This window comes from Homo sapiens, chromosome 13, assembly GCF_000001405.40.
Source record: "Homo sapiens chromosome 13, GRCh38.p14 Primary Assembly".
In the NCBI taxonomy this organism is placed as follows: Eukaryota; Metazoa; Chordata; class Mammalia; order Primates; family Hominidae; genus Homo; species Homo sapiens.
This window is the reverse complement of record NC_000013.11, coordinates 95,892,550-95,905,835: the sequence shown is the minus strand read 5'-3', so window position 1 is coordinate 95,905,835 and position 13,286 is coordinate 95,892,550. Positions and strand designations below refer to the sequence as shown.

At 34.1% G+C, this 13,286-nt stretch overlaps 1 protein-coding gene across 16 annotated transcripts in view; it reads left to right on the top strand.

Annotated features, from left to right (window-relative positions):
- UGGT2 (UDP-glucose glycoprotein glucosyltransferase 2) overlaps positions 1 to 13,286 on the top strand; it is a 251,822-nt gene that overhangs the window by 147,566 nt on the left and 90,970 nt on the right. For 13 of the 16 annotated variants that reach the window (XR_931617.2, NM_020121.4, XM_011521097.2 and 10 more), the window contains 4 exons: positions 2,776 to 2,982; positions 4,898 to 5,029; positions 10,532 to 10,656; positions 11,179 to 11,274. Coding sequence is in view for 15 of the 16 variants with exons in the window: in NM_020121.4 (NP_064506.3) it covers positions 2,776 to 2,982; positions 4,898 to 5,029; positions 10,532 to 10,656; positions 11,179 to 11,274 (560 nt within the window). In the remaining variant the exon portion in view is untranslated. The remainder of the gene's footprint in view (positions 1 to 2,775; positions 2,983 to 4,897; positions 5,030 to 10,531; positions 10,657 to 11,178; positions 11,275 to 13,286) is intronic. The other 3 variants (XM_047430471.1, XM_017020662.2, XM_011521096.2) reach the window with 1 other exon arrangement.

Genomic DNA, 13,286 nt, shown 5'->3' with positions numbered 1-13,286 from the left:
TAAATCTTCTTAAAGATAATGTATACTTTAAAGTTCATATGGAACCAAAAAAGAGCCCGCATCACCAAGTCAATCCTAAGCCAAAAGAACAAAGCTGGAGGCATCACACTATCTGACTTCAAACTATACTACAAGGCTACAGTAACCAAAACAGCATGGTACTGGTACCAAAACAGAGATATAGATCAATGGAACAGAACAGAACCCTCAGAAATAACGCCGCATATCTACAACTATCTGATCTTTGACAAACCTGAGAAAAACAAGCAATGGGGAAAGGATTCCCTATTTAATAAATGGTGCTGGGAAAACTGGCTAGCCATATGTAGAAAGCTGAAACTGGATCCCTTCCTTACACCTTATACAAAAATCAATTGAAGATGGATTAAAGACTTAAACGTTAGACCTAAAACCATAAAAACCCTACAAGAAAACCTAGGCATTACCATTCAGGACATAGGCATGGGCAAGGACTTCATGTCTAAAACACCAAAAGCAATGGCAACAAAAGCCAAAATTGACAAATGGGATCTAATTAAACTAAAGAGCTTCTGCACAGCAAAAGAAACTACCATCAGAGTGAACAGGCAACCTACAAAATGGGAGAAAATTTCCACAACCTACTCATCTGACAAAGGGCTAATATCCAGAATCTACAATGAATGCAAACAAATTTACACGAAAAAAACAAACAACCCCATCACAAAGTGGGCGAAGGACATGAACAGACACTTCTCAAAAGAAGACATTTATGCAGCCAAAAAACACATGAAAAAATGCTCATCATCACTGGCCATCAGAGAAATGCAAATCAAAACCACATTGAGATACCATCTCACACCAGTTAGAATGGCGATCATTAAAAAGTCAGGAAACAACAGGTGCTGGAGAGGATGTGGAGAAATAGGAACACTTTTACACTGTTGGTGGGACTGTAAACTAGTTCAACCATTGTGGAAGTCAGTGTGGCGATTCCTCAGGGATCTAGAACTAGAAATACCATTTGACCCAGCCATCCCATTACTGGGTATATACCCAAAGGACTATAAATCATGGTGCTATAAAGACACATGCACACATATGTTTATTGCGGCATTGTTCACAGTAGCAAAGACTTGGAACCAACCGAAATGTCCAACAATGATAGACTGGATTAAGAAAATGTGGCACATATACACCATGGAATTCTATGCAGCCATAAAAAATGATGAGTTCATGTCCTTTGTAGGGACATGGATGAAATTGGGAAACATCATTCTCAGTAAACTATCGCAAGAACAAAAAACCAAACACCGCATATTCTCACTCATAGGTGGGAATTGAACAATGAGATCACATGGACACAGGAAGGGGAACATCACACTCTGGGGACTGTTGTGGGGTGGGGGGGAGGGGGGAGGGATAGCATTAGGAGATATACCTAATGCTAGATGACGAGTTAATGGGTGCAGTGCACCAGCATGGCACATGTATACATATGTAACTAACCTGCACAATGTGCACATGTACCCTAAAACTTAAAGTTTAATAATAAAAAAAAGATAATATAGATTATCTTTTTTACTTTAGAGTAGAGAAAGGTTTCTAAAATGAGACCCAAAACACAGTAGCCATCAGGTATAATACCAATAAATGGAACTACTTTAAAATTAAGGACTGCTTCCCATTATAACACATCATCAGTACACTACAAAACAAGCCATAGAATGGGAGAAGCATATCTCTACACATATAACCAAAAAAAGCCCTTAAGTCTTAGAAATCCAACTCCTCCAAGTCAGGGGCCAAAAAAGATAATCCAAAAAATACTGGAAGCAGATTGAACAGGCAAGTCATAAAAGAAGCCAAAGAACATATCAAAGGATGTTTAGTATTGTTAATGATAAGAGAAAAGAAAATTAAAACCCTGATGAGATATCTTTACATATGTACGAGAATGATTTAAATTAAAATCTGACAATACAAAGTGTTTCTTAGGCTGTGAGGTAATGGAACTGTTTGTTATCTGTTGCTAGTATGTATATTACTTTGAAAAACTATTTAGCATCTTCTGAAGTGGAAGATATGTATATCCTATTTTTAGAGCTCTAAACTGGAAGAAACTCAGATGTCCAGCAACAGTAGAATAGATAAAAGACTGTATATTCATATGATGGAATTCTGTACAGTACTAAAAATTGACTACAGCTACAGAAAACAGTATTGATAAATCTCACATTATTGAGTGGGGAAAGAACACAAAATAATACTGCATGACTCCATTTATATGAAATTTAAAATTGATTAAATGTTTAGCAGTGCAAGTTTAGGGGATAAACTATAAAGAAGAGCAAAGTTGTTATTACCATAAATGACAAGAGAGTGGTTGTCTTTAGAAAAGTGGGAGGGTGTGGTAATTGACAGAGATCTGCGGAATCTTTTTGGAGTTGCTGGCAGTGCCAGTGACCAGGATAGTAGGTTTATGGGTTAATTCACTGAGCTCTACATTTTGTTTTGTGTATTTTTTATTTGTGTTATTTCACATACAAAAAGCTTAAATATAATGTTACATTACAAATGAATCATTATGCAAATATCTGAAGGAATTAGAGTTAGTAAAATGATTGTTAGGCTTTTTCAGTGGTATATCACATTTAGTACAGTAAACATGGGAGGGCTTTGATAGTGAAAGATGGTGCATGATACAGTGAACAAACTGGATGGGAAAGAAAATATATTCACCTGTAAAATGATATGTATGATACTGGTCTTTTTAATCTATAAATATGTTTGCAGAAAACAAGTGTTCATAGTCGGTTGGGGATTATTTATAATCCTACATCAAAAATAAATGAAGAGAACACAGCTATTTCTAGAGGAATTTTGGCAGCTTTTCTTACACAGAAGAACATGTTTTTGAGAAGCTTTCTTGGGCAACTGGCAAAGGAAGAAATTGCTACAGCTATTTACTCTGGAGATAAAATTAAAACATTCCTTATTGAGGTCAGTAGCTATTTGAAATATTAAATATGTATGTATTGCATATTTTAAAAGTGTGAGTGTATTTGGAGATATTGTTACTGAAAAACAATGGTAGATTTAAACAAATGAAGATAATAAACATTCCTTTTCAAATGGGAAAAGATAAACATTAAATGATATGACTCTGCACAGAGGCATTTAGTAAATCAGATTTCATATGTTTCATTAACTACTTCATGATTCTTAAAGTTGATGGCATTCTAGTTAGGATATGTACTTAAGTGAAGAATTGGGGGTTAAAGCGTTACGTAAATCTCAGGTATTTCACTGAAGGGGTCCATTATGGGGGGGGTTTCAACGATGATCCTCTTGAAGAAACAATCATTATTCATTCAAAAAATACATATTGATCGTTTATGAGACAATGGAGATAAACTTGTGAACAAGCAGATAGAGTCCCTGTCCCTGTTCTTTGTGGAGCTTACATTGTAGGAGGAAAGACAGACAAAATATTTATAAGTGGTTTTGATTGATTTGCTTCCAAAAGTCAGGTCATTAGCTAAGGATTAGAGTGGCAGTATGTACTTTTAAAGGGTCGAGGACAAAAAGAGGAAATGTTGAATATTTTACTATTATTCTGAGAGTGAGAAAATAAATTAAATACATTAGTGAAGGAAGATTTCTGGTCATTGCTGAGGGTCCACTTGAGATTAATGACAATAAATTCAAAGTGAGATCAGCCTTGGTCGTATATTTTTCTCCAACTGTATTTTACTGTTTTCATCCAGTTGCAGACTCAGCAGAGTTGTGTTTAACCAAGGCTGGGGTTTGGACCAGTGAATATGACTGAGAGGGAGCATTCAAGGGAGCTAAACATGGAGAAGTTTTGGTTATAGTAAAGTACCCTGAGATAGAACTTGGTTAAAAGGAAATTACGCCATGGGAAGGATGATAGACAGTGAATAAATGGTAGAGTCTGTGGACTGAAAGTTTGAGTAATGGTTGATCTAGGGATGGTGATGGTCATGTGGTTGTGGTCAGAAAGGGGATGATTGAAATGGGGATTTTGGAGGTAAAGATCAGGGCCTACATGGTCCAACACCACAGCCACTGGCTACATATGGCCATTTTATACTTAAATAAGATTTTAAATTCAGTTCCTCAGTCATAGTAGCCACATTTTGAAAGCCGCATAACCATATGAAGCCATGGCTGCCATATTGGACAATGCAGGAAAACATTTTCATCATCATGAAAGCATCTGGGAACTTGTTAGAAATTCAGAATTTAAGGCCTGGATTCTACTGAAGTATATTCTGCATTTTAATAAGATACCAGGTGATTGGTATGTACATTAAAGTTTGAGAAGTACTGAGAGAGAGAAATGTACCTTAGTATGAAGGTGCAATGAGCATGTATGTGGTTTATTTTCTGTGAATGTCCATATATTTTTTTACTTTGACCAAGCATTACTTTTATTATTTCCATATTTAAATATATTATTACTAAACTGGTCTTCTGGGATTAGTATAATGGGGAGAAAGGAGTATTTCCATTTTAAACACTTTTTAAATTGATAGTACCAAATAAGAGGTACTGAGTTCAGAATTTAATAAATATTTAATTTCATTTTCTTCATATCAAATTTTATTTAAATTGATGTTCCCTAGTAATTTACTAGTCTGGTAGTTTCCCTGAAATTCTCAAAGAATGAATAGCAAACTGTATCAACTTGTAACAAGATTTAAGCATGTTATAAATGACTTGTCAAAACAGAATTCTTTTTTTAAAAATGTTCTTTCAAAGAAAATTATACCAAATAATGATTTTGAAAGTATTATTTAAAATTTTATACTAATATTAGTTTTTTAAACAAAATGATTTAATATATTTACTGTTCTCATATTAGTTTCATCAGTCTTAACTTTTGCTTTAGGGGATGGATAAGAATGCTTTTGAGAAAAAATATAATACTGTTGGAGTGAATATTTTTCGAACTCACCAGTTGTTCTGTCAAGATGTACTTAAATTACGTCCTGGAGAAATGGGTATTGTCAGCAATGGGAGAGTAAGTAGAAAAAGCTATTGCTCTCTTTTCTCAGTGACACTGCAGTGCACTGGTCTGCCTTTTTTCTGTCACAATTCCCCTGATGTGACTGACACACACAGAGGACGGTGTTCATGAGCTGAAGACACCAGACACAACTCAGCATAAATAAAATGGGGTCATGACACACTTCCCATTCCTTCATTCTTTCCCCCATTTAATGAGAATGATGATGTGGGTAAGGAAGAATGTTCTTTATGTGTCTTGCTTTTATTTTGTTCTAATGTAAGTATTAGAAGGAACAACTTAATGCACATCTTCAAAACATTGTCATTAGAACCACTGTTGTAGTAGGTGTAGCAAGTAGGTTATGACATCTTTCTTCTTGTTCCTACAGTTGTGTATGTTAAATGGCATTAGATACTATTTTCAGTTTTGAAGTATCAAGTAGTATAAATTGCCATGTAGTATTTATTAATAAAATATTTACAAGGCTGTAGGAAGAAAATCTCTTACTCTCCAACCACCCTAATAAAACTTAATAGCTTATTGTTTTTCCTTTCAGCCCTTTTTTCTACCATACATAGATAGCCATTTTTGGTTTTTTAGAATACATCCTTATAATCCTACTATATATAATTTTACATCATGATTTTTCTGTTAATATAAATGTTTTTCTGATTGCAGTCTTTGTAGACACATACAAAATAAGTGGATGATATCTATATACTAATATTTTTAATATGATAGTCTTATTTCATACAAATTGTTTAAGTAAAAAACTGAATCTGGTGCTTAGGTTTATTAAGAAATCAACAAATGCAGTGTTTTTCACGTATCTGTGGCTTGAATTTTCAAATTATATATCCCTCAATCATCTTCAAAGTTCTAATGCACTCTTAATGTTTTGTTTTTCACTTACTTTTGAATTCTGTTCACCTGCATATTAGATTCAGGTTCATCTATGTACAGTGCTATTTTACACATGTCAAAAGCTGCCATTTATTGTAAAAAGTATTGGTGAATTTTGGTAGTGAGATATGTAGAGCTCTGTAAATGGCATTGCTTTTTCACTTTAAAAGTTACTTTGGGAGGAAATACAGCTTTTAAAAACAGTTCTAAAGCTTTTGGCTGTCTTTGACCATGTCAAGCATTTTAAGGGATAAAGAGGGAAACAATGGCACCTGTTTTATCTAGTGCCTTACCTTTTAGTTATATACTAGGGAAAAGCTATCCTATGTCTTGTCATTTTGATATAATTCATATAGTGTTATTGACATTAATGATAACAAATACTAGATACAGTTATGTTCAACTTATTTCTCATAAACATAAAACTATGTTTTGTCCTGACTTTCCTTAAAATTGATAAAAATATTAAGATATTAATCTTACACCTACTGTGAACCAAACATTCTTCTAGATTCTGAAGGCACAGCAGTAAACAACTACGTTTTCATGGGGCTAATATTTTGATGGATAGAGAGAGACAACAAACAGCACCCTTACTGATAAGGCATCTATCTTAAGTATGTTTATGCTGCTATAAAAATATGCCACAGACTGGCTAATTTATAAAGAACATAAATTTATTTCTTATACTTCTGGATGCTTGGAAATGTAAGGCTGACGTGCTGCCATGGATGTCTGGTGAGGGCTGCTCTCTGCTTCCAGGATGGCTCCTTGTTGCTCTGTTTTTACATGGTGGAAAGTAGAAGGGCAACAGAGTGCTCCCTTCAGTCTTGAACTCTTTTATTATAAGGATACAAATTCCATTCATGAGGGCAGAGCCCTCGTGGCTTAATCATCTCCCAAAGGCCACACCTCTCAGTGCTATCGCACTGGCCACTAAGTTTCAACACATGGGTTTTGAGGGACACGTTTTGTCTTAATCTGTTTTGTGCTGCTGTAACAAAATACCTGAGACTATATAATCTCAGAAATCTATTAAAGAACAGAAATTTATTCTCTCATACTTCTGGAGGCTGGGAAGTCCAAGATCAAGGCACTGGCATCTGATGGGAGCTTTCTTGCTGCATCCTCATACGGCAGAAGGCAGTGGGGCAAAAAGGGGATGAGTGCTATGTTCCTACATGGCAGGAGAGAGCAAACCCACTCCTGAAAGCCTTTTTATAGTGGCATTAGTCCATTTTGAGGCACAGCCCTCATGACCTAAACACCTCCCATTAGGCCCCAGCTCCCAACACTGTTGCATTGGGGATTCAGTTTTAACATAAATTTTGGAGAGGACAAAGACATTCAAACCATAGCACATTCATAGCAGTGTCATATGGGCAAAGAACCAAAGAAGGTGAAGGAGGAAGCCATGTCAAATATCTGGAAGAGGATTGTTCTAGACAGAGTACAGTGAATGCAAAGGACGTGAGGTGAGTTCATGTCTGTGAATCCTGTGAATCATGTCTGCTATTCTAAGAATAGCAGGTAGGAAGAGAGCAGGCAGGAGAGAAGCCAGAGAAGTAGCTGGGGGCCAGATCATATTGGGTTTTATAGGAAGTTTAAGGACTCCCACTTTACTCTGAATGAGTTGGGAAGTGCATAGTTCTGGGCAGGAGATTGGCATCATCTAGCTTATGTTTTATTTGGATCACTAGAGGCTGTTACATTGGGAATATACAATAGGGGGTCAGGGAGCCAGTTGGGAGATAATGCAGTAGTCCAGATGAGAGATGATGGTGGCTTGGACCAGAATGGTTCTAGTGGTGGTAGTAAGAAGTGGATATGGGATGTATTTTATGTGAAGAATGGACAGGAATTGTCCAGGGACTTTGGTGTGAGATGTGAGAGAACTAAGTTACTGGCAGAGTGGAGTTACTGTGGATCAAGGTGAGGAAGGCTGCAGGATGAGTGAGGTTGTCAGGAGCAGTATAAGAAGAAGGAAAGAGAATTCAGTTTGGACCTCCAAAAAGACTTGTTAAGAAGGTGATTGAATATGAGTGTAGTACAGAGGAAGGATTGGGGCTGGAGATAGATATTAAGTCAAATTATGTTGATTTTTTCTGTTGACTAATGGAAAAATGTAATTTCAATTATCCTTTTATTTGTATAACTGTGGTTTTAATAGAAAAGTATATTGGAAAATAAGTCTGTGGTTTATGAGCGATAATGTAATACTTAGCTTATCACTCTGAAAGTAATGCTGTTAAGCATAATAATCACAGCAATGTGGCAGATGTTATAAAAATTTGGAATCAGATAGTTTAATGCTTGAAATAAGTATGATATTTTAGTATAAATCTTCATTCTGAGCCTGTTCAAATGTTTCCATTAGAATTGGAACATATGAAAAGTTAAAATTGTTTATAAATGATCAACAACTAGGGTACAATGATGATCACACAGTTTCTTAAAAACACTGAATAATTTAAAATTGACATATTTAATATTAATGCCACAAATAATGCCATTGTTATAATAATATTTATTTGTATTACACTACATATTCACAGTTTGCTGAAAGACATGGGGTAGCAGGGAGTAGGGAACAAAAGCAGGGTCTTTTTTTTGTTTTATAGTCAGATCTGGATTCAAATTCCAGTTGCACCATTAATTACATTACACTGTGAGACCTGATTTCTTCATTTGGACAATGAGAATGATAATAATCTGTCTTACAGGATTGTTGGGGTGATTAAATATGCTCCTATATTTAAAGCACATAGAAGGAACCCAAACACAGAGTAAATTTTCAGTAAATATTAACTGCTATTTTCTCTCAATATTTGAAGGGCATCATGAAAAATAATGGGCATTTGTAGACTTAATTTGTGTTACACTAGCTAAAAGTTAGCATAAAATCAAAACTAGTTGATCAAACTTCTGTGAGTAGAGAGACATTTTTAGCTCAGTATGTGGATGAAAATCTGACAGAGTTTTCTGCAATTTTCATGACCTGTCAAATGAAGTAATGCATTTCTGTTACAGCAATTATTCTATGTAACTGAAAAATCACATTTCTCAAATGTTATGAAGAAGATTTAAGCAACATAATTTTCAAGTTTATTGTTCTTTTACCCAACTTGGACATTATGTGATTTTATGCTATTTAAGTTACTTTATTCCACAAATTTTCAGCTTTAAATAGAACCAAGACACAGAAACATTAGGTTTCTCCTGTTTGATGCTGTGCTTAATGTAAGCAAAATACAGCCAGTTTTCTGGTAAATTTAATCAGTAAAGATAGCCAATGTAGTTAACCCCTTAAAACAATACTTTTAAGATTTTATTTCCTTATTCTAATGTTACTAACAAAACTGCCCCTGTCGCTAGAGGTAGTATAGATAAGATTCAACTGTTTTCCAAGACTGCTGATTCATTGTTCAGAAATGTAACATTGAATGTGCTTTCAAAGTTGCTTTAAAAATTATATCACGTCTTAAGACAATGAAATGTTTATATGAGTACTTTTAGTATTATAGTGCCCATTTTTGTGTTTTTAAGAGCCCGTGTTTTATATTTAAGGTGAAACATGATATTTATTTAGTTGAGATGCCAAAATCCCAGTTAGTCACCTTTGATATGAGAAAATGGGATAGAAAGATTCAAGAACTATGCTTCAGTAATTTTTAGAAAAGATGAACTGTAGGAGCAGGTGAAGGGGAAGTGAGAAAATCTGGCTACAGCCATTACATTCTGGTCTTTTTACCAAGAAAAAAATAATCTGGTTGACGTGTTTTCTGATTATCATTAAATATAATTGTTTTGTACATAGGATTATGTCAGTCTACAGTAGGGTTTTGTGTACGTGGTGTTAGAATGATTGTTATGTACTAATTTCCTCAGAAAGTGCTCATGGTAGTAGAGTCAGTAGTGGTTGTGATGGGAGAGCCATTCTGAGAAATTAGGTATGTGGCAATTTGGCAGCTTCTAACTTTGTAGTTACTGGTTTAAAGTTAATATAGGTGACCTTGCTAGGCTCCTAACCATTTATACAGTATCAGTTAAAAGAAGACTGGTTGGTATTATTATAGTAAGTATGTGATTTTTATGTGATTTTTCTCTTGGGTTTTGCTATTTTATGGCTTTCTTATAAAGTAATTCATGTCTATATAGTGTAGAGTACAATTTATAGATGAAGGTGAAAGAAAATTGAAATTAAAAGATTTTTAAAAATATAGACCATTGCTTTCAAAATTGAATTCAGATTGAAATGGTATTTGGAAGCATCATGATTTATGTTTCAAATCACGATTTATGATTTATGTTTCAAATCATGATTTATGATTTATGTTTCAAAGTAAAACTTTCTAATGGAAATAATTTGCTAATTTTTTATATTGTCACTTTGATTTTGGTGTTTATACAAATGTTATTTGTAATATCAAAGTGAGAAAGTATATCTTGTTTCCTAGCGTATTTAGTAAATGGCAGGATTAATAGCTACCATATCTTTAATCTCTAATTCATTTTTGCTTAATAAAGAAATATCTATTTGATGAGGAAATGTTTTTCCTAAACTGATATCTTCTAGAAGATATATGATAATATAACTGTTTTTATTTTAAGTTCTTAGGACCTTTAGATGAAGATTTTTATGCAGAAGATTTTTACTTGTTGGAAAAGATAACATTTAGTAATTTAGGAGAGAAAATTAAAGGCATTGTTGAAAATATGGGAATCAACGCAAATAAGTGAGTATATAAGTTCTAAGAGCAATTCATTTTGGGTTTGGTATTTTGAGTCTAATGTTTTTAAGATTAGAAAATGTTTCAAATATATAGACAAGTAAAGGTATAATAAAAGACATATATAAAGAATATAAGCAAATAATAAAAGGCATCCATTTACTCACCATCACAAAACTGTAGATGTTAATGTTTTCTTTGCCTTGGCTCTGTCTTTCTCCTTGTTTCTTACCCATCCACCCCAGTCTCCTCCCTCCCCAAGAGGTAACCATTTTCCTATAGATTGTATGCATGGTTCCCATATTTGTCTTTTTGCTTCATGTGTAAATATCCATTATTGGTGTTTATTGTGTTGAAGGCTGTGACTGTTTTAGAGAAATGCTATTATACGTAGGTCTCCCTTTGCAGTCTACTTTGGTAGATTTAACCATGTTCAGATATATAAAACCTTTCTTGAAGCATTAATTGTAACATGAAATATGGAACTCTTTCCAAAAAACTCATACACTGTTTGTCTTGTTTATCTAGCATGAGTGACTTTATTATGAAAGTTGATGCCCTTATGTCCTCTGTGCCTAAGCGTGCATCTCGATATGATGTCACATTTCTTAGGGAGAATCACAGGTAAGAATGTATTCGTATTTGTTTGTGATTTTTCTGTTAATGCATGCAATTATTTCCATTTGTTTTCATAACATGGTAAAATTTAAGGTAGAATTAAAAGTTATTTATTAGGGAATAAATGTATTTGACAGTATTAGGAAGATAAATTCCAGTTAGTTATATATTCTAGTAAATAAAGGGTAATATATATGGAGAGAGAGTGTACGAAATTTCAAGTAAGTTAAACATGTTATAATTTGTCATATTTTTAATATCTTTCATACTTAAGATCATTTGTAATTTTTGCAGTATCTCAAGATAGTCATAAATAATATTATCTTTATATTTTCAATGTGTAAAGTGACTGAAGAGTTCTGATTAATCAAATGTAGGGTGGCCTCTGTCACAAAGCTAAACACACATGCATGCGCGAGAGTTCAAAGGAGTGAAGAGAGGGTCAAGGCAAAGCTGAACTGTTGTAGGCCCGGCTGCTGCCTCAGGCCAGCAAGGTGAATCAGCAGATCAGCAGCAAGTGTGTGAGCTGCAAAATTGCTGCTGCTGCCTCTCTGTTCTCTAGATCTCCTGAGAATCTCTGTTGTTGCCCGCCCAAGCAAGAAACATTCTGGAAAATATGATTTAGCCTGGTCAAGTTGACACATTATAAAGCTGCTGCGTGGACCAAGGGTCCAAGGATTTACTCTGTCAGGCTCCTGTGGTAGGATGGAAATAAAAGGCTGTTTAATCACTATCATATGTGATTTCTATGCCCATATTCTCTATGAGAGTGCCTCGTTAATTGTAAAAGTAGCTAAACTGCTTTTTAAAAAAATACTACTGAAGATTCCCTGAGCTCACTCAAGTGTCTTACAGTTATCACCTTTAGTAATTTTCTCTAGAAATACCATTTTTTGTCTGTCAAAGAGCATTCTTTCCTATCAAGGGAGATAATAATATAAATACGGTTAAATTTATATGTAAATTTCTACATTAAAGTCACACTCTGTTATTGAATTTTAGAAAATGTCAGTGAACCTTTGGAAATTGATAATTAGGATAATACAGTATGCCACAGTGATGGGCAAATACTTCAGGTCACTTTACATTTGAATTTATGAATTATCAGTATTACTTCCATAGTTATATCTGTATATTTCATGAGCATATGCATTTACTTCTAAAATCACATAAAAATATTTATTCACAGCTTTTTAGAGAGATGTGTGTGTATACATGTATATATATATTTAAACACAGTATTATATCTTTGCCATTCTGCTTCTATGTCTATAGGGAGTCATTTTATAATTAAATATGTTAAAACACTTGTTATAAATCCGTTATTTCTGTATTGATATGTTTGATCTTAATTCCAACTTTTAAAATTTAAATTGGCTTATAAGAAAATTTAAATTTGACAGGGTAACTTAAATTAGAAGGTTTGCAAAAGGAGAAAGAGTAGGAGTATATTGAAATCTGGAATAAAGTGAAAAATGAGAAAAAACAATTATATTTTTTCCCCAGCCCTGAAAGATCTCTATATTAGCCTATTCCCTTCCATTTAGACTCTGTGGATTTGACATTCTTCTAACATCTTAGACAAAGGCAAAAATAGCAATCCTAACTACTCACCCCATCATCCCAGGAACTTACAACATTGAATGTAAGTTGTGTGAGAAACTATGAGGTCTTGAAGGAAGCCTTGCAGGCTGCGGCAATAATGACCCTCCTGTCATGAGCATACCATGAATTTGGCTCTAAGTTTTCCAGTTTATACAGTTCCCAAGTTCATGAGAGGAAAACAAACTAGATGTTCAGATGAAGTGTAATTATTCTTAGAAGAGGGAAGACAGAGGAATTTCTCCCGGGAGCCTTTATAAAGAGGATGCTATATAATGAACAGTGTTTTCAATATTCTTAAAATAGATTACTTGACCTATTTTATAGATAGGTTAACAGTATCATAACAAAATTCAACTCAGAGTTTTCTATTGCAACGGCCTGTTTGAAATGTGTTCAATATATCTGTAAGAGTT